The sequence below is a fragment of the Homo sapiens genome, chromosome 8 (genome assembly GCF_000001405.40).
Source record: "Homo sapiens chromosome 8, GRCh38.p14 Primary Assembly".
Lineage (NCBI taxonomy): Eukaryota > Metazoa > Chordata > Mammalia > Primates > Hominidae > Homo > Homo sapiens.
The window spans coordinates 80,048,841-80,072,676 of NC_000008.11; the positions used below are offsets into that span (position 1 = coordinate 80,048,841).

A 23,836-nucleotide genomic window follows, 5' to 3' on the forward strand; every position below is an offset into this window, starting at 1 on the left:
GGCAATTAAATATTCATAAAAACTTAATATTTATTAAAAACAAGACTGAAAATGGTACAGCATAATCTTAATTATATTTTTTAAACAAAATGGACAAAGTGACTGTGAAAGGAGCTAGAAAACAGTTGCAAAACATAATTTGTTGCTGATGAATTAATAAGACAGCACACACTGAGCCATATCTAGGTATGGCTTTAAGGTATAGAAAGGTATTCTTTAAAGGTATAGAAAAGTCTAGTGATATGTACTGAAGAAACATCATCCTCAATAGCCCTTACTTTTATATCTTACACTGATGTTTGCATCACATCGAACATTTTATAACCAGTACTGATAAGGCTCTTCCATTCTTAACTTATCCCAAGTCCCCACTCTTCCCCTACTCCACTCTAAGATTTTAAGCTTCATTCTAATAAAAGCCATGCGTTCTTTATGGTTATGCCCATGGAACCTGTCCACAGTAGACACTCTAAATGTTAGCAGAATGGGTGATGTGACTGGCTCTGTATTCAGTTACTTATAGCACTTTTTAACTGAATGCCAACGATACACAATCACCTATCATTGGTTACTTGATTTTTTAAGCATAATTTTAGCTTTAAATAGTTCAACATTTAGAGTTTATATATCCCTATAATTTACTCTGACTTCCAGGGGTAAGTGTCACCAAGATAGGAGCTTTAAGTACCTGTTTGCTTACTTAAAAAGGCAAGCAGCTAGACTACCATGAGTGATTGCTTAAGAAAATAATCTGCATCCATAGGAACAGAGATGAAGACTACTATATCATCCTTCCTGCTTATACTCTAAAGACTTTCCTCCACCTTAGTTTCCTCCAACAACTAATCAGATAATCAAAGAGTCTGCCTGGGAAAGAGAAAGGTTTCCTCAACATCACAAAGTCTCTTTCTATAAGGCATGGTTTGAGCTAACATCTTTTTAATGTGCTTTTTTTAGCTTAATATTCTTTTCCCTTTTTCAAACCATGAAGTTGCCTTGTGTACATAAAGAATATAACAAGTGTAAAGAAAGAATAAAATCATAAAAACTATAAGCTAGTAAAACAAGTATTAAAAAGTGCAGAGTAGTGGCAGATTTTACCTTATGTATATTTTACCACAACAACAAAAAAAAAGGTAGAGTAACCAATAGAAGATGGAAGACTAACATCAGGAGGCAGTACATATGCAGTCTGTTACAATTGTGTAATGAAACCCAGGTGAAGAATTCCAACATCCTTACAAAAGTACCAAAGAAACAAAAGCATCAAAACAAACAAAGTCAGACATTAAAAGGGAGGAATTTTGCATGCCATGGTAAAGCTGCTTCTTTTTACCAAAGAAAAAAGTAAAAAAGAAATGTCAAAATCATTTCCATATCCCTTGAACCACAGTGTCAAATACTTCTTTTAATTTATCAACTACCCATGGTATACAAGAAACCCTCCCTTGAAATTAGGAATGCACTAGAGAAAAAGATACTCTAAACGCAAGAAAATTATGTACTGGACAAACACGATCATCCAACGTAGCATGGTAATCTAATCTCAGCACACTTTTCTTATACAACTGCTGGACTGCAGTGATGGTTCAAACTCTCCTTACCTAAAGGAATGTGAAAAGGCTTGCAATCTGTAAGAAGCCAGAGTAAGCATTAAAAAAGAAAGAAGTTCTGATAAATCTAAAACAATTAAATAACCTAAGTTTTAAACATATAATGTTTTCCCTGGGCTCTAAACTGCTACACAATTCAGTCAGCATAGAGAAAATGAACACCTAATAGATACATACATAATTGTCAAAAGAGTTCAAGAAAGCTATATTTATTACATTATGCTTAGACAATGACAGTCTAAATATAATGAGCGAGGAATTTGTTCTTTTGGTGTAAAGTATAACACATAAATTGACCAAATCTATTCAACCAAGAAATTCTGGTTGTAAGATATACACTTTCCCCACAAATGCAAAACACGAAGCCATGCAATCTGAGCATTTTTTTTTAAACACAAATCTTGCATGCCAACAGAAGCACAGCTGACTTAAACCACATTTGTCATTTTCATCACTATCCTAATCCACATGAGTGAAGGGGGGGCACAAAAGCACTGTGAAGTGGTTTTATAAAAATGGCAAGGAAAACTCTGCAGACTAATCTAAATGAAAAAAAAAAAAAGCAACAACTCAAAATCAAGATTTTGGCCTAAGCATGAACATAGTTACAGCTTACCAGTTAGAATAAAACAGTGCACAAATGAGCATGTTGTAATCACACCATGATATAAAATGTCACATATAGAACGTGAAGCCAAATCTGAATCGAAGCGTGCACTTCAGTGCTCCTGTAGTCATCCTTAGTAACACACCAGGCTCTGCCCACAATCACAAATTTGCAACCAAAGACATACTTACCCTGCATGATCATGAAGAACTAAAAAGACAAAGAAGTTCACAACCAGAATTTTTCAACAACCTTAAATGATCATCAGATGATCATTTGATGTTAGAATGCTAGGCCTAGAAGACCTTAGATGAGCCTTCCAGGTACTGGTTTGAAGGAGTGCCCTCCCTCACTCTAACAGGAGTAGCTAGCATCAACTAGAGCCAAGGTCAGGAAACAGATGCAACAACAATAACATTTTAATTTGCGTCAGCTACTTAATGAGCAAGGAAAAATGAGGACATACTTTACATCTTCCAGCTTTTTGGTGATGACTGAGCCAACAGACGAAAAAGCAGCTGAGGCCTTCTGTCCAGCCTGGGATAAGGTTTCAGATGTCTTCTTGTAACTATATTAAATTATAAACACACAGAGCAAAAGAAGGGTCAGCTCATCTTTTCTAATATCAATTGTTTCAAGTGCAGTGGTCACCACCTGCTGGAGAACTCTCAAAAAGAGAAAACATTTTTCAGAACTTCTAAAATCCTTCATAACCAGCAGAGCGGCATCACCACATCTTCGTATGCTCAACCCTAAGCTCAGGCACAATCTTCTGCAGTGCCCTAGTCCAGCCAGAAAGACAGAGTCCTATAAAGGCAGGGCCAAAGAAGTCAAGGTAAGGGCTAAAAATAATCATCAAACCAAGATGAAAATAAGCAAAGGCCTGAAAGAACTCATACCTATTGTTCTTTTCTCACATAATCCAAACAAAACAAAAATGAAATCAAATTCCTCAGATGCCTTTGTCAACTTGATTTCCTAAAAAAGGGCCAGAAGCAATTAGTAGCTGGCGTAAGTAGGACCCATTTGTATTTTATTATCCAAATACATTTTATGGGCATACTTTCTAAAAATTTTTGCATGTCTTTAGAGAGCTACCAAATACGGACATGATGGACTTTCAACAAAGTATGTAAAATATGCAATGCTTAAAATTATTCTAGTGTGGTATCTGCTATCACGCAAAGCTATAATTTACCACCTCCTTCCCAGCTACCTGGAGATTAGAGAAGAGAAAAGCAAAAACAAAAAAATGATGACAACAACAACAACAAAAAACAAAATAATATCGTACCTACCAAAACAATTCCCACATTATGGGAAAGAATGCTCAGGCATTTTTACTTACCCTGTCAAGATCAAATACCAATAAAAAAACATGGTTCATGGTAATACTGTTGAAAAAATAGTTTCCTGTATGTTTTCCCACTGCCAACTTAGATGGGTAGAAAATGGACCAAAAGACTGGGGACTCAAGTACTGTCATGTTAAATGCAGTTGGCCTCACTTCTGATAGTTAAATTGTAAAACAACTTCTGTGCTCACCAGCTCTGCAGATGGCTCTCAATACAGAAGACAGAGCAGTTCGGTTTCTGCTGCTAGAAGCTTGCTCCTCCTTGTGCCGGGAAACAAAACTGCATTATGATAATGCTATATCATAGCATGTGTGGTCAAAAAGACAAAAAGCCTAAGGGATTGACCTCTGCCAAGAGCATATATCTGAGACTACGACCTGAGAATCTTTTGATACCTACACAACAAGGTTAAAAAAATACATTAATAATAATAATAAAGACTGGCTCCAGACCTGAGTTTGAATTCCCACTCCACATTTTGAGAGGTTTGTGACATGAAAACTTAATTTGTCTGAGCCTGTTTCCTTATCCAGGGTTATCTTGCCACCCATTCTTACTGGGTTATTCTGAGTACTAAAGGACAAAATGTACATATTTGTGGCAAGTCAATACATAACACTTATGGGATTTGAATTTTATTTCTCCAACTGGCTAGCTTTCTTTCTATTCCTTAGAATAAGTGGTCTGGAAAAATTGAAGTTACAAAAAAAGGCAGGCACACTTGAAAATCAGAAAAAAAGGGTGCCGTGTCGTCCAAAGAAAAGCTGCTGAAGCATCCTTATCCTCTTTTTCTTCCCCTCTCCAGACAAAAGGCACAACAGTGTCCTTTACACTCCCAAGGAAAGTGTATGATCAAGGAAACATACGCAGATGTTGCTGTCACGTCTTGCCACCCTTTGGCAATGTTCTGTTTTAGTTCCTGTAGAGAATTGATTCCAAGTTTCCGCTTGATCTCTGCTAGATGCTTCTCTTTTGCTGCTAACACTTGAGACAGAGTCTGGATTTCTTCTTCTACCTATGAGGAAGGGGTTTGGGGTAAGAATATAGCAAAAGTCATTCAGTAAGTTAAGATTATTACCACAGAACTACATCCAAAATTCCAGTCATTAAACATTTTTTTGAATCATTTATCTTTCTCTCTAAAAACAATGTATAATGTTGTTGAGTAAACTGGTTACTTGCTGATCTCTCCTGTAGAGTTCTCTTTCCTCCTCCATGGGAGCTCTTTATAATCCCATCTTAAGCTGTTTTTGGCCTTCTCCTCTCTCCCTATACTTCCTTACTCAGCTATCTCATGTAGGTTTAGGACTCAAATTTCTACACAGATAATACTTAATAAAGCACTCTAACATCCACTCTCCCGACCTGTGGGTCTGCCTTCCCAGCCTAGACATTTCTATCTGAATGCCTACAAAACTTGTATTTGTATACTAAATCAAAATAATCTCCATCCCCTACCAAAACACACACAACCAAGCCAAACCCAAATCCAATCTCCTTGCATATTTGATATGAGTATATATACTGGATACATATACTCAGTCCCTGTGTCTGGCAAAGTCATGGCCATAATAAATCAAACCGCCTCCTCAGGAGATCCCTGCTCTCAAGGGTTTCATGTGAACCCCTTGATGCTGACTGCCCAGACTTGACTAGGTGGTTAGAGGTGGGCCCTGACCCATGGACAGCCACCCATCAAGAGCCAGTGGATGAGCCCAGTGTGAAAAGAGGTGCTCAACTATTCGTCTCTCTCACTCAGGAATCTAGTTTGAGAAGTGAGATGACATTGCAAGTAGAAGCTGAAAAAACTTGAAGAAGCCTTGAGGTATAGGTAGGCTACAGTGAGATTATGAGAGGTATGGAAAGCTTAAATATGCTTGAGGAATCTAAAACTGTAAGCAGAAGCTATGAAGAAAAGGAAAAAATGGACAGAGTAGAACAAAAGGCTAATCCAGGAAAACAGGGAAAATGGTAGACTCTCTATTTCAGAAACAGGGAAAAGGGTGGACTGCCTATTTCAGAGAGAAATAGACACCATGTGGAAGAGACTTTAGGTCCCAGGAAATTGAAAATCTAGGTCCCTAAAGTATATCCATTAACATTCAAGACCCTCAGAGAAATGCGTCTCCTGGCTTGTTGCAAAGCCATATTTTCAGCCCCAACCTGCACGGTATTTCTATGATTTCAAAGACAACATGCCCTTTAAAAATAACATAGAGTATTGCTCAGTCAAATGTTTTCACAGATGTTTAAGTCTTTAGAGAACACAAAACAAAGAAAATTAGTGCAACGGAGAAAAGGATAAATCAAATGTGATGCAGCTGCCAAGAAAAAAAAAAAAAGAAGAAAAAGAACCTACAACACCACTCTCAGATAAGATTAACTGGAACAGAGGTCCCTCAGAACAAATAAATAATCCCCTGTGCTTGTCAGAGTCACAAGTACTGGACCCAGTTTTGTAAGTCACATTTTAAGATGTACATTGACGAAGTGGAATACGAGAAGAAAAGGACAAAAAAAGAGGAAAGAATAAGGTTCAAAATTAAGTAAATTAAATGATTTGCCCAAAGTCATCAAACAAATAATGTAGGAACCAGAATTCCTATCTAGGTTTTCTGAATGCACGTCTCAGTTTACTGGCTGAATTCTCATGTACACTCTCTTAAGCTTCCCACTTCCTCTGTCTCTACTTCAGGCTCCAAAGCTTCAGACACTTCTAAGAATAGACTTAAATGGTAAGTTTCCCACCCCTTAGCACTTCTCTGAGGTACTCACTTCCTCTAATGAAAGCTGCAAAGACAAACCACTCTAAATCTTTCTGAACAATGCACAACACAGTATATTCCCCACCTTTGTTGGTTAGCTTGTGCTGCTAACACACCTAGCCCAGCACATCATGGCTGCGATTCCTTAATTCAATATATACATGTAAAACAGAGTGACTTTAAAAGCATAAAGAGCATGATTAAGAATCTCTGATGTGTCTATCACTATATACAAAGATCAACTCAAAATGGACTAAGGACCCAAAACCATAAAACTACTAGAAGAAAACATAGGAGAAACACTTCAGGGCATTGGTCTAGACAAAGATTTTATGGCTAAGACCTCAGAAACACAGGCAACAAAAACAAAAATAGACAAATGGGACTAAATTCAAGGAAATCATCAACAGAGTGAAGAGATAACCTGTAGAATGGGAGAGAACATTTGCAAACTATTCATCTGACAAGGGACTAATATCCAAAATATACAAGGAACTCAATTCAACAACAAAACAAACAAGCAATCCCATTTAAAAAGTGGGCAAAGGATCTAAATAGACATTTCTCAGAAGAGACATATAAATGGCCAACAAATATATTAAAAATGCTCAACATCACTAATCATCAGGGAAATGCAAATCAAAATCAAAATGAGGTATCACCTCACACCTGTTATTATGCCTGTTATCAAAAAACCAAAAAATAACAGATGCTGGCAAGGATCCAGAGAAGATGAAACTCTTATACACTGTTGCTGGGAATATAAATTAGTACAGCCACTATGAAAAACAGTATGGAGGTTTCTCAGAAAAACTTAAAATAGAAATACCACATAATCCAGCAATCCCACTACTGGGTTACTTATCCAAAGGAAAGGAAATCAGTGTATCAAAGGGTACCTACACCCCCACGTTTATTGCAGCACTATTTACAATACCCAAGTGTCCATCAACAGGTGAATGGATAAAGAAAATGTGGTATACACAATGGAATACAATTCTGCCATAAAAAAGAATGAAATCCTGTAATTTGCAGCAACATGGATGAGCCTAGAGAACAATACGTTAAGCAGAATAAATCAGGCACAGAAAGATAAATACTGCATGTTCTTACTCACATGTGGACGCCAAGAAAAAACTCTGAACCCATCTAAGTAGAGAGTAAAATTGTGGGTGTTAGAGGTTGGGAAAGGGAGGATGCCTACAGGTTGTGCTTCAAACGACACTGTCATGAAAGTAAAAGACAACCAACAGAATGGGGAAAATATTGGCAAATTACATACCTAATAAGAGTCTAGTATCTAGAACATATAAAGAAACTTACAACTCAATAAAAAGACAATCCAATTAGAAAATGGGCAAAGGACTTAAATAGACATTTCTCCCAAGATATACAAATGACCAATAAGCACATGAAAAGATGCTTAACACCATTCATTAGTAATTTGAGAAATGCAAATCAAAACCACAAGGAGATACCACTTCATACCCATTAGGATGGTTACAATTAAAAAAAACAGAGATTAATAAGTGTTGGCAAGGATGTGGAGAAATTGGAACCCTCAGACACAGCTGGTGAGAATGTAAAATGAAGTTGGGCAGCAAAGCAGTTTGACAGCTCCTCAAAAAGTTAAACATAGAGCTACCATATGACCCAGCAACTCCACTCCTAGGTATATATAACAAAGAGAATTGAAAACACATCCAGGCTGGGTGCAATGGCTCACGGCTGTAATCCCAGCACTTTGGGAGGCCAAGGTGGACAGATCACTTGAGGTCAGGGGTTTGAGACCAGCCTGGCTAACATGGTGAAACCCCATACTACTAAAACACAAAAATTAGCCAGGCATGGTGGTGGTGTGCCTATAATCCCAGCTACTCAGGAGGCTGAGGCAGGAGAATCACTTCAACCTAGGAGGCAGAGGTTGCAGTGAGCTGAGATCATGCTACTACACTCCAGCCTGGGCAACAGAGCAAGACTCTTCTCAAAAAACAAACAAGCAACAATAAAAAGAAAACACACATCCATACAAAAAGCTGTACACAATTGCTTACAGCGGCATTATTCATAACAGTCCTAAAGTTCAGCCACTGTGGAACACAATTTGGATACTTCTCAAAGAACTTAATACAGAGCTACCATTCAATGGCAGCAATCCCATTACTGGGTATAGAAATTGTTCTACCAAAAAAACACCTGCACTCATATGTTTATTGCATCACTATTCACAATAGCAAAGACATGAAACCAACCCCGGTGCCCACTGTCCAATGTGGTACATATACATCATGGAATACTATGCAGCCCCTAAAAAGTACAAAATCATGTCCTTTGCTGCAACATGGATACAGCTGGAGGCCATCTTCCTAATCAAATTAACACAAAAATGGAAAACCAAATACCACATGTTCTGACTTATAAGTGGGAGCTAAACATTGGGTATACACAGACACAAAGATGGGAACACTAAACACTGGGGATTCCAGAAGTGGAGAGGGAGAGTTGGGGGAAAGAGCTGAAAAACCATGTTCACTACTTGGGCAACAGGATCATTAGAAGCCCAAACCTCAACATCATGAGGCATTACCATGTAACAAACCCGCACATGTACCCCCTGAATCTAAAATTTTTTAAATAAAAAATTTAAGTTTAAAAATGTTTTAAAAGGGACTATAAAGAAAATGAAAAGGAAAATCCACAGAATGGGAGAAAATATTTACAAATCATATAGCTGGTAACTTCATTTGTTAAATAAAGACTATGTTTCCTCTTCCATCAATCATAATAGCACCTGCCCCGTAAGACTGTTGTAATAATTAATGAAATAATGCATGTAAAGAGCTCAGTTTAACGCCTCCCACACAGCATGTAGTCTATAGACATTAGGTGCTATTACTATTATTTTTATTTTGTTGATAATAAAACAATACTGAGAACTGTCAAGGATTTGAAAAAAAATGCTCTTTCAAAACACTGTAAGAAATATGCTGGATAGCATTTTGGCCATGTTGCTATATACTCTTAAAAACCATTAGACCCAGGCATAATGCTACTTCCAGGACTTTATCCTAAAGCGCTAATTAAAGAAGTGCATAAAAACTTACATGAAGGTATTTTCATCAAACTATTATTCATAATAGCAAAAAATGGAAACAATCCAAATGTTTATAAATAATATAAATTAAAAATGAGCTTGCGGAAATTCAAAATGGACTACGCAGCAATTTAAAATGAGGTTGCACAAGAGTATATTGGCATAAAAATGTTTTTGAAAATCAGTTAAGTGGGAAAAGGTTATCTGTATTCTAATGCCCTCTACAAATATAAAAATATATGGCTGGGCATGGTGGCCCATGCCTGTAATCCCAGGACTTTGGGAGGCCAAGGCAGGTGGATCACCTGAGTTCAGGAGTTCAAGACCAGCCTGGCCTACATGACAAAACCCCATCTCTGCTAAAAATACAGAAATTAGCTGGGCATGGTGGCACACGCCTGTAGTCCCAGCTACTCAGGAGGCTGAGGCAGGAGAATCGCTTGAACCTGGGAGGCAGAGGTTGCAGTGAGTCAAGATTATGCCACCACACTCCAGCCTGGGCAACAACAGAGTGAAACTCTGTCTCAAAAAACAAAACAAAACAAAAAAACAACCACACAAATGGTTTATCACCCATCTGCCTTACCCATTCTATCCCCACCTTGTTTATAAAACTTTGGGCGAAAAAATGAGTAGTACAAACAGACAGAAGATCATAGAGACGACTTGAACAATACCATACATCAACTGGACCTAACACATATATGTACAGAACAGCTCACCCCAAATTAGTAGAAATACACTGTTCTCAAATGCACATGAAACATTCTCCAGGACAGAGTATACGTTAGGCAACAAAACAAGTCTCAATAAACTTAAAGTCATACAAAGCACCTTTTCCAACCACCACCATGAAACTGGAAATCAAAAACAAGAGGAAAACCAGAAAATTCACAACTATGTAATAATCAAACCACACACTTTTAAACAACCAATGGGCCAAAAAAGAAGTCACAAAGGAAATTAGAAAACACCTTGAAATGAAGGAAAACAAAAACAGTGTATTAAAACTTTTGGGATGCAGTTGAAGAACTGTCAGTAAGAAATGTATAGTTATAAATGCCTACATTAAAAAAAATCTCAATAACCTAACTCTACACCTTAAGGAATTAGAGAAAAATTTAAAAAATAGAAAACTACACCCAAAGCTAAGAGAAGGAAGGGAATAAGGAAGAGATTAGATATTAGAGTAAAGATAAAATGGACAAGAGGAAACAATAGAGAGAATGAATAAAAGCAATAATTCATTCTTTAAAAAGATCAACAGTGCATTAAGGGTTAAAAAAAAGAAAAAGACAGCCAGGCGCAGTGGCTCACGCCTGTAATCCCAGCACTTTGGGAGGCCAAGGCGGGCAGATCACCTGAGGTGAGGAGTTGGAGACCAGTCATGCCAACACACTGAAACCCCGTCTCTACCAAAAATACAAAAATTAGCTGGGAGTGGTGGCACGTGCCTGTAATCCCAGCTATTCAGGAGGCTGAGGCAGGAGAATCGCTTGAACCTGGGAGGCAGAGGTTGCAGTGAGACGAGATCGCACCATTGCACTCCAGCCTGGGCAACGGAGTGAGGCTCCATCTCAAAACAAACAAAAAAAAAGAAGTTCAAGACCAGCCTGGCCAACATGGTGAAACCTCGTCTCTACTAAAAATACAAAAATTAGTCAGGCGTGGTGGTGCACGCCTGTAGTCCCAGCTACCAGGGAGGCTGAGGTACAAGAATTGCTTGAACCCTGGAGGCAGAGGCTGCAGTGTGCCAAGACTGCTGCCACTGCACTCCAGCCACCTGGGTGACAGAGCAAGACTCCATCTCAAAAAAAAAAAAGAAAAGAAAAAGATGAGTGAAATTGACAAACCTATAGCTAGACTGACCGAAAAAAAAAAAAGAGAGAGAAGGCATAAATAACTAAAATCAAATGAAAGTGGGGACATTAACTAACCTTATAGAAACAGAAAGGATTATAAAAGAATATTATGAGCAATTGTACACCAACATACTAGATAGTCTAGAGTAAATGGACAAATGCATAGAAATATACAAATGACTAAACTGACCCAACAAAATAGAAGAAATCTGAACAAGTAAAGAGATTGAACAAGTATCAAAAATCTCCCAAAGAAAAGTGTAAAAGTAGATAGCTTCAATGGTTAATTCTACCAAACATTTAAAGAATGGACAAACCTTTTCAAACTCTTCTAAAAAACCAGAAGATGGTAGAACACTTTCCAACTCATCTAAGAAGCCAGCATTACCCTATTTACCAAAGCCAGAGAATGATATCACAAGAAAACAGCAGCCCATATCTCCTATGAATATCCAGCAGCATATTAAAAGGATTATAAAACATGACCAAGTGGAATATATCCTAGGAATGCAAGGATGATTCAACACATGAAAATCAACCAGTGTTATATACCACATTAATATAGTAAAGGGGAAAAACACAATCATTTCAATAGGTGAAAAAAAAAGCATTTCATAAAAATCCAATACTCTTTCATGAAAAAAAAAACCCACTAAAACTAGGAATAAAAGAGAACTTCCTCAACGCAAGTGCATTTGTGAAAAAAATGACAGCTAATATCATACTTATGGTTAAAGACTGAAAGCTTTCCCCATAAGATCAGAAAAAAAGACAGGGATACCCATTTTTACCATTTTTACACAATATTGTACTGAAGAGTTTAGCCAAAGCAGTTAGACAAGAAAAATAAATTAAAGGCATTCAAATTGGAAAGGAAAAGTAAAACGATGTTTAATCACAGATGACATGATTTCATATATAGAAAATCCTAAAGAATCCACAAAAAAGGCCAGGTGCGGTGGCTCATGCCTGTAATCCCAGCACTTTGGGAGGCCGAGGCAGGCAGAACACCTGAGGTTGGGAGTTCACAACCAGCTGACCAATATGGAGAAACCCCATCTCTACTAAAAATACAAAATTAGCCGGGCGTAGTGGCACATTCGTGTAATCCCAGCTACTCGGGAGGCTGAGGCAGGACAATCGCTTGAACCTGGGAGGTGGAGGTTGCAGTGAGCCAAGATCATGCCATTGCATTCCAGCCTGGGCAACAAGAGTGAAACTCCATACCTTCCCCCCCACCGCCCCCCCCAAAAAAAAAAGAATCCACAAAAAAATCTATTCAAGAGTGGTTGTGGTGGCTTATGCCTGTAATCCCAGCACTTTGAGAGGCCTTGGCAGGAGGATCACTTGAGTCCAGAAACATAGCAAGACCCCACCTCTACTGAAAAATAAAAAAATTAACCAGGCAGATGGTGGCAAGCGCCTGTAGTCCTAGCTACTCAGGAGGCTGAGGCAGGAGGATCACTTGAGCTGGGAGGTCAAGGCTGCCCCGAGCCATGATCACATCACTGCACTCTAGCATGGGTGACAGAGCAATACCTGTCTCAAAAAAATTTTTTTAAATATATTTGAGCTCATAAATTCAACAAAGCTGCAAAATATAAGATCAAGATATAATATTCAGTTATGTTTCTACATAATAGCAATAAACCACCTGAAAAGAAAATTTAAAAAAAATCCATTTACAATCACATCAACAAGAATAAAACACTTAGGAATAAATATAACTAAGGAAGTATAAGACTCGTACATAGAAAAATGTTTTGTACATTGCTAAAGTAAAATAAGAACTAAATAAATGGAAAGACATTTCATGTTCATGGACTGGAAGACTTAATATTGTTAAGATGGCAATACTCACCAAGTCAATCTATAAACTGAACGCGAGCCCTATCAAAATGCCAACAGCATTTTTGTGTGGGTGGAAAAGCAGATTCTGAAATTCATATGGAATTGCAAGGAACCTTGAATAACAATTTTTAAAAAGAAGAAAAAGGTAAAGAACGCATATTTCTGGATTTCAAACTTACTACAAAGCTATAGTAATCAAAATAGTGTGATACTGTCAAAAGAAAAGACATATAGATGAATGAATCTGAATCCAGAGTCCAGAAATAAACCTATACATCTATGGTTAACTGATTTTTTTTCTTTTTTAACAAGGATGCCACGAGCATTCACTGGGGAAAACTAGCCACATGCAAAAGAATGAAGTTAGATCCCTACCAAAACCATATACGCTAATTAACTCAAAATGGATCAAGGGCTTAAATCTTAAGAGCCAACACTATAAAAGTCTTAGACAAAAACATAGGGGTAAATCTTTATCATCTAGGATTTAGAAATGGATTCTTAGATATCACACCAAAAGCACAAACCAAAACCATAATGAGATATCACTTCACACCCACTAGGACTACTATAATCAACAACACAGAAAATAACAAATGTTGCCAGGGATGTGGGGAAATTGCTGATGGGAATATTAAATGGTGTTAATACTGTGAAAACAGTTTGGTGCTTCCCAAAAAAACTTGAAACATGGGCCAGGAACAGTGGCTCACATCTGTAATCCCAGCACTTTGGGAGGCTGAGGTGGGAGGATCACGTGAGGCCAGGAGTTTGAAACCAGCTTGGGCAACATAGCAAAATCTCATCTCTATGAAAAATAAAAATTAAAAAATTTGCCAGGCATAATGGCATGTACCTGGAGTCCCAGCTACTCAGGAGGCTGAGGCAGGAGGATTGCTTGGCCCAGGAGTTCAACATTATAGTGAGCTATAATCATGCCACTGCACAATCACCAACCCACAAAATAGAGCAAGACCTTGTATCTTAAAAAAAAAGTTAAAAAAATTTTAAAACATTAAACATGGAACTACCACATGATGAAGCAATTCCATATCTAGGCATATATGAAAAAGAACTGAAACTAGGTACTCAAGCAAGTATTTGTTCATAAAATGTTCCTAACTCACTACCCACCATAGTCAAAAGGTGAAAAATCACCCAAATGTCTATGAATGGATAAATGGATAAACAAAATACAATAGATACATGTAATGGAATATTATTCAGTCATTAAACATAATGAAGCACAGATATGTGCTACACCATGAATCAACCTCAAAAACATGAAGGGAAAGAACCCAAATACATAAGGTTACATATTGTATGATTCCATTTATATGAAATAACCAGAAGACAGTTAAATCCATAGAGTCACAAAGCAAATTAGGTATTGCCAGGGGCTGAAGGAGGGGAGTAGTCAGGATTGAATGCTTAATGAATACAGGGATCTCTTTGGAGGTGAAGAAAATGTGTGGAACTTGAAAGGGGTGGCAGCTGCACAACACTGTGAATGTTACATGTTACTGAATTATACTCGTTAATTTTTTTGCCTGTAATCCCAGCACTTTGGGAGACCAAGGCAGGTGGATCACTTAAGGTCAGGAGTTCGAAACCAGCCTGGCCAACATGGCGAAATCCATCTCTACTAAAAATACAAAAATTAGCTGAGCACAGTGGCAGACGCCTGTAATCCCAGCTACTCAGGAGGCTGAGGCAGGAGAATCACTTGAACCCAGGAGCCAGAGGTTGCAATGAGCCAAGATTGTGCCACTGCACTCCAGCCTGGGCAACAGAGCGAGACTCCATCTCGAAAAATAAAATATAATAAAATGGTTAATTTTTATGTTAAATGAATTTCATGGAAGAAGTTAGGAAAGAAAAAAGTAAGAAGGGAGGGAAAGGAGAGGAGGAATGGGGGGGAATGGCAGAGGGAGGGAGGGGGAGGGGGGGCGGAAAGAGAAAAAAGAGAAGCCAGAAGGGGAAGAAGGAGGGGAGGGAGGGAGGGGAAGGAAGAAAGAGAGGGGAAGGAAGGAAGGGAGAGAGGGGAGGGAAGGCAGGGTAGGGAAGGGAAGGGAGGGGAGGGAAGGAGGGAGCTGGAAGGAAGGAAAGGCGGAAGGAAGTTGGAAAGTGGCCATCTCTGCAACACAGCCAAGGGTAGAACAAAGTCACTGATGCACTGAAGAGCAAGTGTATCAGATGTCAGTGAAGTCCCTTAGAAGACATTCACTACTACTCCTCTCATTCATTTCCTGCTTCACACTCTACTTTTCACATCTATTTTACCCATATATACTTTTTTCTCATATAAAAACGAACCGATGTCACCCTCTTCTATCTCCTCTCCCCTACTCAAGACCTGCTGGAGAAGTAAACACATATGCTTTCTCTCCCCTGGAACTAACTATAAACATATCACCATGTACTTTAGAATCACAAATGACAGTACATTTTAAGTGCAAAAATAAAGTTGCAAAAGGAATGGTTCTTTACCTTTGCAAGTTCTCTTCTTAGCTCTTCCTGCTCCTCTTCCGAGAGGGTCTCTGTGGCACTGATCGTGGCAGCAACATCTTCTCCTTCCTCAGGGACTGGGTCTGTTCTCAGCAGACCTGGTTGGGGATTTAAACCATTTTTTAAAGTGCAAAATCTAAGTAAAATCCCTATTTAAGCTCCTCCACTGTCCTAGCCAGAATAAAGCCAATTAGAGTAGATCCACACATCTCATCTCTGGATATTCAAATGACCTGGCTTTCTCAGCAAAGGACAAAAGAAAATCTGAGCTAACCACCGGAAACTACCAAGTAGACTCTGCCAAAATATGAATTTAGAAAATATAGCATTCTCTTAGCTTCTGTTCATAGTCTCAGTCACAATATAGTTATGGCAGAAGAGTGAAGGGCCCAAAATGAGATCTTGCTGAGACTTTAAATTGCTGCAAAAGTAAATCAGTATAAATTAGATGAAAGATTTTAGCTCCTTCCCAGTAACCCAGGGCAGGAGTTTGCATATCTCTTCAGCTTGCTGTGGTAATCAAAGCCAACATTTCATAAACTCAGTAAAGGAGTAACCACTGAATGAACTAAATGTCCTAAGTAAATTTTATTCTGTTTCTTTCCATTAGTGGAGGCAGAAAACATCTTCTTGTAAGTTCTTTTTTTGTTGTTTGTTTGTTTGTTTTAGGAGGTAGAGACAGGGTGTCGCTATGTTGCCCAAGCTGGTCTTGAACTCCTGGCTTCAAGCCATCATATATATATATGATGATATAGATGATTATATCTATCTATATATATCTATATCTATATATCTATATCTATCTATCTATATATATATATATCATCCAGATACCCTTATAAAAGAATACTAAGGTATATGTTCAGAGACATGACCAACAGCCACACAGAGACATTCTACACTACTGAAGACCAACCACACCGCACCCATTCCCCTTGGAACGGAGCCTGTCAGGAAGAACAACTGGAGAGTGACCAGGAGGCAGCTGCCCCTCAGATCTCCCCTCTTTTCCTGCCCAACCCTCACCCACAGGCTAAGATGAGGCCAGAAAGGCACCCCAACCTTGGGTGCAAAATTGAAGAGGCCACTAAAACACTCAATATAAATATCTTAATGCAGTATTTTTTAAAAATCAAATTCAAAGAACCCATGATGAACAAAAATGCCAAAATTTTAAATTGAAGGATCAGTATTGCTGATACTTTGTCTCAAACTCCAAAATGGCTCTGCATGAACAGCACTATTGGTAATCTCATCTTTATTTAAAATTGTGATATTTTATTCATGATTTTCTTTTACATTAATTTTTAAAAATATTGTATTTGTATATTATTTGACGACTAAGCTTTTTGTCACCCCCTTCCTGGCCTCAGCTGCCTTACCCTAGGCTTCAGTTCAGTTTACAGATTTGGGATTACAAAGTCTCCTCTGGCAACAGATTTTTTTTTTTTTTTTTTTGCAAAGAAACCAGGGGAAGGTTTACTCCTCTGCCTGCTCTTCCTGCCAGTGAGCATCACAGCCACTGCAGTTGTTCCCTGCTACCCCCCAGGACCATTTCTGAGAACTGCCAGTTCAGCCACAGCAGCAATGTGGCATCCTGCCCAATGCAAGGCGCCAGGGAGCAGACACAGAAGAAAAAGGAAGGAGAATAACCACACTGTGGAACAAGCAGCCAGCGTCGCAGCAAGCATTAGAGAATTACATGAGTCAATGAGATGATGCTTATGTACATGGTGTACAAGTTACAAAGGCACTTGGTACAGGCTCTACTGTACACTCACTGATTAATAGCAGTTAATAATTATAATAATAATCATCAGCATGGCAGCACCAAAATAGTGCCTACCTGGAAAGCACAGAACTGTTAAAGGCATAAAAGTAACACAAAAAATTCAAAAACCACAAATCGGACTGGCAAAAAATATGATTAAGCTCTTGACTGAATATAAAATATTTAATAGGTACAATCAGCAAGTAGAAAAGCTCAATGCATAATTGCTTCCGCAGGTCTTCCTCTAAAATATTTGTGAACAGACTGCCCAAATAATATTTCTATAATAGAAATCTGACTGTATCACTCTTCAGCTTAAAATCCTTTGGTGATTCCTTACTGTTTTCAAAGCAAAGTGTGACCCCTGAGGTTGGCAGGTAGCCCTTACTGGACCCGTCTCCTGCTAGCTGGCATTGGCACCTCTTACTCCAACTCCTGCCAAACCACACCGTGAACAACGTGCTGTACTATGTACTGTCAGAAACCATTTCCCAGCATCTGTGTGTGCTTGTAAATCTACCCTCTATGTCAGATTATGTGAAGAAAGTTGTATGAGATTGAAACTGAGAGTCAAGCATTCAAGTAACAATCATATAAGGCAACACAGTAAGAACCATAACAGAGCTACCTGTTAAACGTTATTTTATTTTTAATGTTTTGTACAGAACTCCCAGGTTCTCCAACTACAACAGATCTCCAAAACAAAACAAGCAAAACTCAGGTACCAAACCATTACTTAAATAGCAAAGACTCTTTCATGCTTTTTTGATACACACTGTTTTGCAAATCTACTCAAACAAGGGGAGAAATACAGTATCTGACTGCTAACACAATGCTTTATGTATACTGCCCAATTCCAAAAAGAATCCAAGGGGATTCTGGTTCTATTCAAGTATGCGGCTAGGCTATCAAGGAAAATAAATCTCTCAGAAAAGAGGATGACGGGTTGTCCAGTTGGCTTCAAGTCTGCCAGGATGACCTTGAGATTTTATATTCAGCATCTAAGAAAGTTGGTAATGACATGTTCTGCTCTTTCCACATTAGCCCGTAGGTGGCAGCAAATCATTATCATTAAAATTAAAAGGTGCAGTCTGGAAAAAAAAATTAGAAATTAAAGAACACCAAGGAAGAACAGAATGGTAGATACCAAAATCACCAGCAAAACATCACAGTCATGCCTTGAGAAAATTATTAACCACAGCCACCATGACAGAGTGCATTCCATTTACAGACAAGTCCAAATTAAGTGTTTTAAATACTTATGTGCAACACTTCTGTGAGGTGGGGATCCCTGTCACCACTTACAGATCAGGAACCTCAAGCTTACAGACATTAAGCAACTTGCCCAGGTTAACACACCTAAATCTTTGGTGGAGGTCAGATTTTAAACCTAGACGGTCTGATGTAAAAACAAATGCTTCACATCACTGATCTGAAAACAAAGACAAAAGTAGGAGGCTGATGGTCAGACCTGAAAGGTATCTAGAAGCAATAATAAGACCCTAAAAAGTGAAAGAATCTGGCAGACTAGATCAAAAGCAGTCTTCATTAATTCCAACTAAAGTTTCCCCAAACCTGGGAATCCAAATTTTGCCTTATATATTCGTCTAGATATGATCCTGTTTCTTGTATGTTCAGTAATGGTATAGGATTTAATATGAAAATAGAGTCTGGCTTTTGGGAGAAAAGATTAATTTCTCATTCACAACATGAAAGGTGGAAAATAAGAACATTTAAAAGTATAGATTATTGAAAACCATAATCCAAAACTTATTTGTTCATTAATTTTAATGTTGTTTTTTTTTTCTCAGAATCTGATGGAAAGCTGTTTTTAAAAGACAAAGATGGTGGGGAAAATACAATTAATATCTACTGACATCTACTACACCAGCCACTGTGAGGGGAAGTCTACATGTTATCTTATAAAAATAAAAACACCCCATAACCACCATCCGAGAGGAGTATTTTTTTTCCACCAGGAAACTGCGGTCCTCTAAGGCTATATAATTTGCCCAGAGTTACAGAGGCAGGATTAATACTTGGGTCTTTCTGTCTCTCGACTCAGCTCCATCACGAACATCTTAGAGAAACATCAATGATCATGGCAGGACAAGGAAACAGGGCCTAGTCTTTCTCCATAGAAACGTTTTACTTTCCTGAGGGTCTAGGAACCTGTGGGGATCCCTGGTTTGAAAGTCACAGATAACATTATCAAACACAAGTGACTGAAAATGAGTGATAATTTCTTCCATCAGGTTATTAACATTTTAGCCATTGCCTTAGTTCTCTTCATCTAGCTGTGCAAACAGATTGTCAGCCTGTCTTCAGTTCCATCCATAGGATCCCTGAAGAGCTTTAGGTGGGGGAGTGACAAGTCTAGACTTGTCTTTGGAAAAGTCCTTCCAGCAAGCTGGGTATTGGGTGGCCTCCCCTGGGAAGGGTCTGGAGTCCACTGGCAGGGCAATGCATCTCGCTGATTCCCAGCTGAGAGTTCTAGTGTCTCAGGGGTAAGGATGGAGAAGACAAGCAGAGACACATCCCATCAATCTGAAGATACTTTTTACATTTTACATCTTTGAGATGCACTGTACAATTAATCAGCCAGTCATTGTGACATGGTTATCACCTGCAAACATGCTTCAAAATTTGCAAAATGGCTTAGAAAATGCCAGGTCCGGTTACAGACGTCTCTTAAGAAAGGCTGCACCACAGACATTTTATGTGAGGAAAATAAATCAATAGAATAGACATAGATTACTCCAAGTTGAATAGCAATTCAAATAAGTTAGATTATGGGTGTGAAGACATTTTAGGAAATGTTCTTTTTTATTTTAGAAAATATGCACAGGAGTGTTATGATCAGTGTAAACGTCTGAATAAATCTAAAAAAGAACTTCAATAAATGTAAAAATTTTGGCCAGGCACAGTGGTTCATACCTGTAATCCCAGCACTTTGGGAGGCCAAGGTGGGAGGATCACTTGAGCCCAGGAGTTCGAGACCAGCCTAGGCAACAAAGTGAGATCCTGTCTCTACAAAAACTCAAAAACCATTAGCCGGGTATAGTGGCCTGCACCTGTAGTCCCAGCTACTCAGGAGGCTGTGGCGGGAGGATCGCTTGGGCCTAGGAGGTTGAAGCTGAATGAGCTGTGATCGTGCCACTGCACTCCAGCCTGGGCAACAGAGCAAGACCCTGTCTCAAAACAACAACAACAAAAATTTTAATAAAAATTTTTAGGGGGCTGGGCATGGTGGCTCACACACACCTGTAATCCCAGCACTTTGGGAGGCAGAGACAGGCAGATCACTTGAGGCCAGGAGTTCAAGACCAGCCTGGGCAACGTGGTGAAACCCCATCTCTACTAAAAATAATTTTTAAAAAAGATTTAAAACTTAAGTTATGATAAAGCAGGTTTTTTTTTAGTTTAACTATTAGCATATTTTATACTTAATGAAACAAAAAATAATAGTAACATCTTACAATCTGTGGTGTCTTGGATTTGATGAAATACAACACTTCAAGACTTCAGAGTCCTTGTGAATAATGTGCGGAAGACAAAGTGGAAATGTGTGTGTGCGAGTGTGGTCAGAGCAGGGAAAGGCAGAGCAGAGTGGCCAAGAACCGGTAAGAGCTTAGTCCTGAACACATCTCTAGTTCTAGACTATAAAGTCCTGATGTCACTTTATCTCTCCATCTCAGAACTCACAGTGCCTAGAACAGTCAATGTTAATATTGCATCTGAACTGAATTATTCTTTAAAGATTTAATTAAAGTAGCTCTCTCTTTACTTTCCCATGCATAACCACCCATTTGCCACATACTTTCACAAATTTCAACTGGGGAAAGCAGCAAAAGCGTTTTTACTAAAAATGTAGAACCTACACTTAAGCCAAAAATAAGAGTTTGAGGAGCGCCTCTCTCTGCTTGGGTGCAGCCCCAACCCCCCTTTGGAGCACCCACTTAAATGGTTATCTTCCCTCTAGTTCTTCGTCTTTGACTTTTATTCCAATTATGACCAAGTGCTTCAAGACTTTCTAAGATTATTGATTAAAAGCTTTTTGGCCATTGTCATACAATTTTAGATCTGAAAGAATTCTGAATCGTTTAAGTCAGCAGTCCCCAGTGTTTTTTGCACCAGGGACTGGTTTCATGGAAGACAATTTTTCCACGGCGGTTGGGGGTTGATGATTTTGAGAGGAAACTGTTCCACCTCAGATCATCAGGCATTAGATTCTCATAAGCAATGTGCAACCTAGATCCCTCGCATGTGTGGTTCACAATAGGGTTCATGCTCCTATGAGAATCTAATGCCACCACTGATCTGACAGGAGGCAGAGCTCAGGCGGTAATGCTCACTCGCCTGCCACTCACTGGTTCCTAACAGGCCACAGATGGGTACCAGTCCACCACCTGGGCGTTGGGGATCCCTGGTTTAAGTCAAATGCTTCATTATATAAAGATGAGAAAACTGAGGACAGATTTTTACAAGAATAGGAAAAGACAAGATGAGCTTTGAAATTAGATGGTGTTGTGAGTTGAACTCTGCTGCCTTTAAAGATGTCTTCAATTTCCTAACCCCTGACAACAATGAATGTGTCTTTATTTGGAAACAGGATTTCTGCAGATGTAATCAAGTTAAGATGAGGTCACACTGGATTAGTGAACTCTAATCCAATGGTTCATGTCCTTATAAGAAGGAAATTTGAACGCAGAGACTCAGAGAAGAGATTATGTGAAGATACAGAGCGCAAAGCACAGAGAACACGCAGAGATTGGGGTGACATCACTACAGAACAAGGAACACCAAGGTCTGCAAGCAAACACCAGAAGCGAGGAGGCAGCAAGGATTCATTGCCCTGCACGTTTCACAGGGAGCAAGACCCTGCCAACGCCTTCATTTCAGATTTCTAACCTCCAGAACCGGGTGATAAGCCACCCAGAATGGCTACCGCAGCCCCAGGAGAATAATTCCGATGGAAAGGGGCATAAACACTGATTCAGCCATTGACTAGTTGGTTGATCTTCTTTAATCACATTTATCTTCAAAGAGCCCCAAGCCCCTTACCTGCAAAAAATGGGTACACACAAGGATTTGCTGTTTCCCCCAGGTTCCATGCCCTATAACTTGTCCTGGCAATTGCTTCTCTCTCCTTTCGTCCTCCCTGAGTCTTGGCTCTCAGGTCTCACTTCCTCACTGCCCACTACTCTTCAACCCCCTGCAACCTTGTGGCTGCCCCTTCCACCTCCCTTCCACTAAGGACAATTCTGGGTCACTACCCTCATCTAGCCACGCCAAGGCCATCTGACATTGCACTTCAGTCTGAAATCTCCATTCCTCTCCTCCCTCCTGGTTTTTCTCTTCCTACCTCTCTGAGACGTCATGGCTCCATCTCACTCTCTGGACATCCACTTCACTCCTTGCCTCCAATCCTGCCCTCCTGCCTAGTTTGAGCTGTCACTATGTGTTGCTTAGATTCCTACCCCTAAGCTCCTTGCCAGTCTCTGACATCTGCAAATATTCCTCAACCTGCCCCAACAAAGAGCTTTCTAGAGTGCATATCTGACGACGCCACTCCCGTGCCTTAAGTCCTTTGATGGCTTCCCAGCTTCTTGCAAAGCTCCTCACTCTGGACAATCTGGCCCCACTCCCCAGCACCTGCCCCATCTCCTGCTACTGCCCTCACCAGCACAACACTCCCACTATACCCTCCAACCTGCAGTTCCTCCAGAAACACATGCTTTTTTTGTTTTTTAAGAAATGTAGGCCGGGCGCGGTGGCTCACGCCTGTAATCCCAGCACTTTGGGAGACCCAGGCAGGCGGATCAAGAGGTCAAGAGATCGAGACCATCCTGGCCAACATGGTGAAACCCGTCTCAACTAAAAACACAAAGATTAGCTGGGCGTGGTGGCGTGCACCTGTAGTCCCAACTACTCATGAGGCTGAGGCAGGAGAATCTCCTGAACTCGGGAGGCAGAGGTTGCAGTGAGCTGAGATTGCGCCACCACACTCCAGCCTGGCGACAGAGAGAGACTCCATCTAAAAAACATATATGTGTGTGTGTGTGTGTGTGTGTGTGTGTGTATGTGTGTATATACATGTACACATAGATATGCGTGTATATACATGTACACATAGATATGCGTGTATATACATGTACACATAGATATGCGTGTATATACATGTACACATAGATATGCGTGTATATACATGTACACATAGATATGCGTGTATATACATGTACACATAGATATGCGTGTATATACATGTACACATAGATATGCGTGTATATACATGTACACATAGATATGCGTGTATATACATGTACACATAGATATGCGTGTATATACATGTACACATAGATATGCGTGTATATACATGTACACAGATATGTGTGTATATACATGTACAC

General features: G+C 39.3%; 2 protein-coding genes across 17 annotated transcripts in view; both read right to left on the reverse strand.

The window, feature by feature from the left end:
- TPD52-MRPS28 (TPD52-MRPS28 readthrough) overlaps positions 1 to 23,836 on the reverse strand; it is a 252,848-nt gene that overhangs the window by 130,124 nt on the left and 98,888 nt on the right. The window contains exons 2-4 of the mRNA NM_001387778.1: positions 15,638 to 15,753; positions 4,442 to 4,590; positions 2,687 to 2,788 (exon numbers count right to left, since the gene is read on the reverse strand). Of these exons, the coding sequence (NP_001374707.1) occupies positions 2,687 to 2,788; positions 4,442 to 4,590; positions 15,638 to 15,753 (367 nt within the window). The remainder of the gene's footprint in view (positions 1 to 2,686; positions 2,789 to 4,441; positions 4,591 to 15,637; positions 15,754 to 23,836) is intronic.
- TPD52 (tumor protein D52) overlaps positions 1 to 23,836 on the reverse strand; it is a 140,483-nt gene that overhangs the window by 17,759 nt on the left and 98,888 nt on the right. For 8 of the 16 annotated variants that reach the window (NR_105035.2, NR_105037.2, NM_001387779.1 and 5 more), the window contains 3 exons: positions 15,638 to 15,753; positions 4,442 to 4,590; positions 2,687 to 2,788 (listed from right to left, as the gene is read on the reverse strand). Coding sequence is in view for 9 of the 16 variants with exons in the window: in NM_001387779.1 (NP_001374708.1) it covers positions 2,687 to 2,788; positions 4,442 to 4,590; positions 15,638 to 15,753 (367 nt within the window). In the remaining 7 variants the exon portion in view is untranslated. Of the gene's footprint in view, positions 1 to 1,604; positions 1,632 to 2,411; positions 2,431 to 2,686; positions 2,789 to 3,765; positions 3,836 to 4,441; positions 4,591 to 15,637; positions 15,754 to 23,836 lie in introns of all 16 variants that reach the window. The other 8 variants (NR_105036.2, NM_001025253.3, NM_001287143.2 and 5 more) reach the window with 5 other exon arrangements.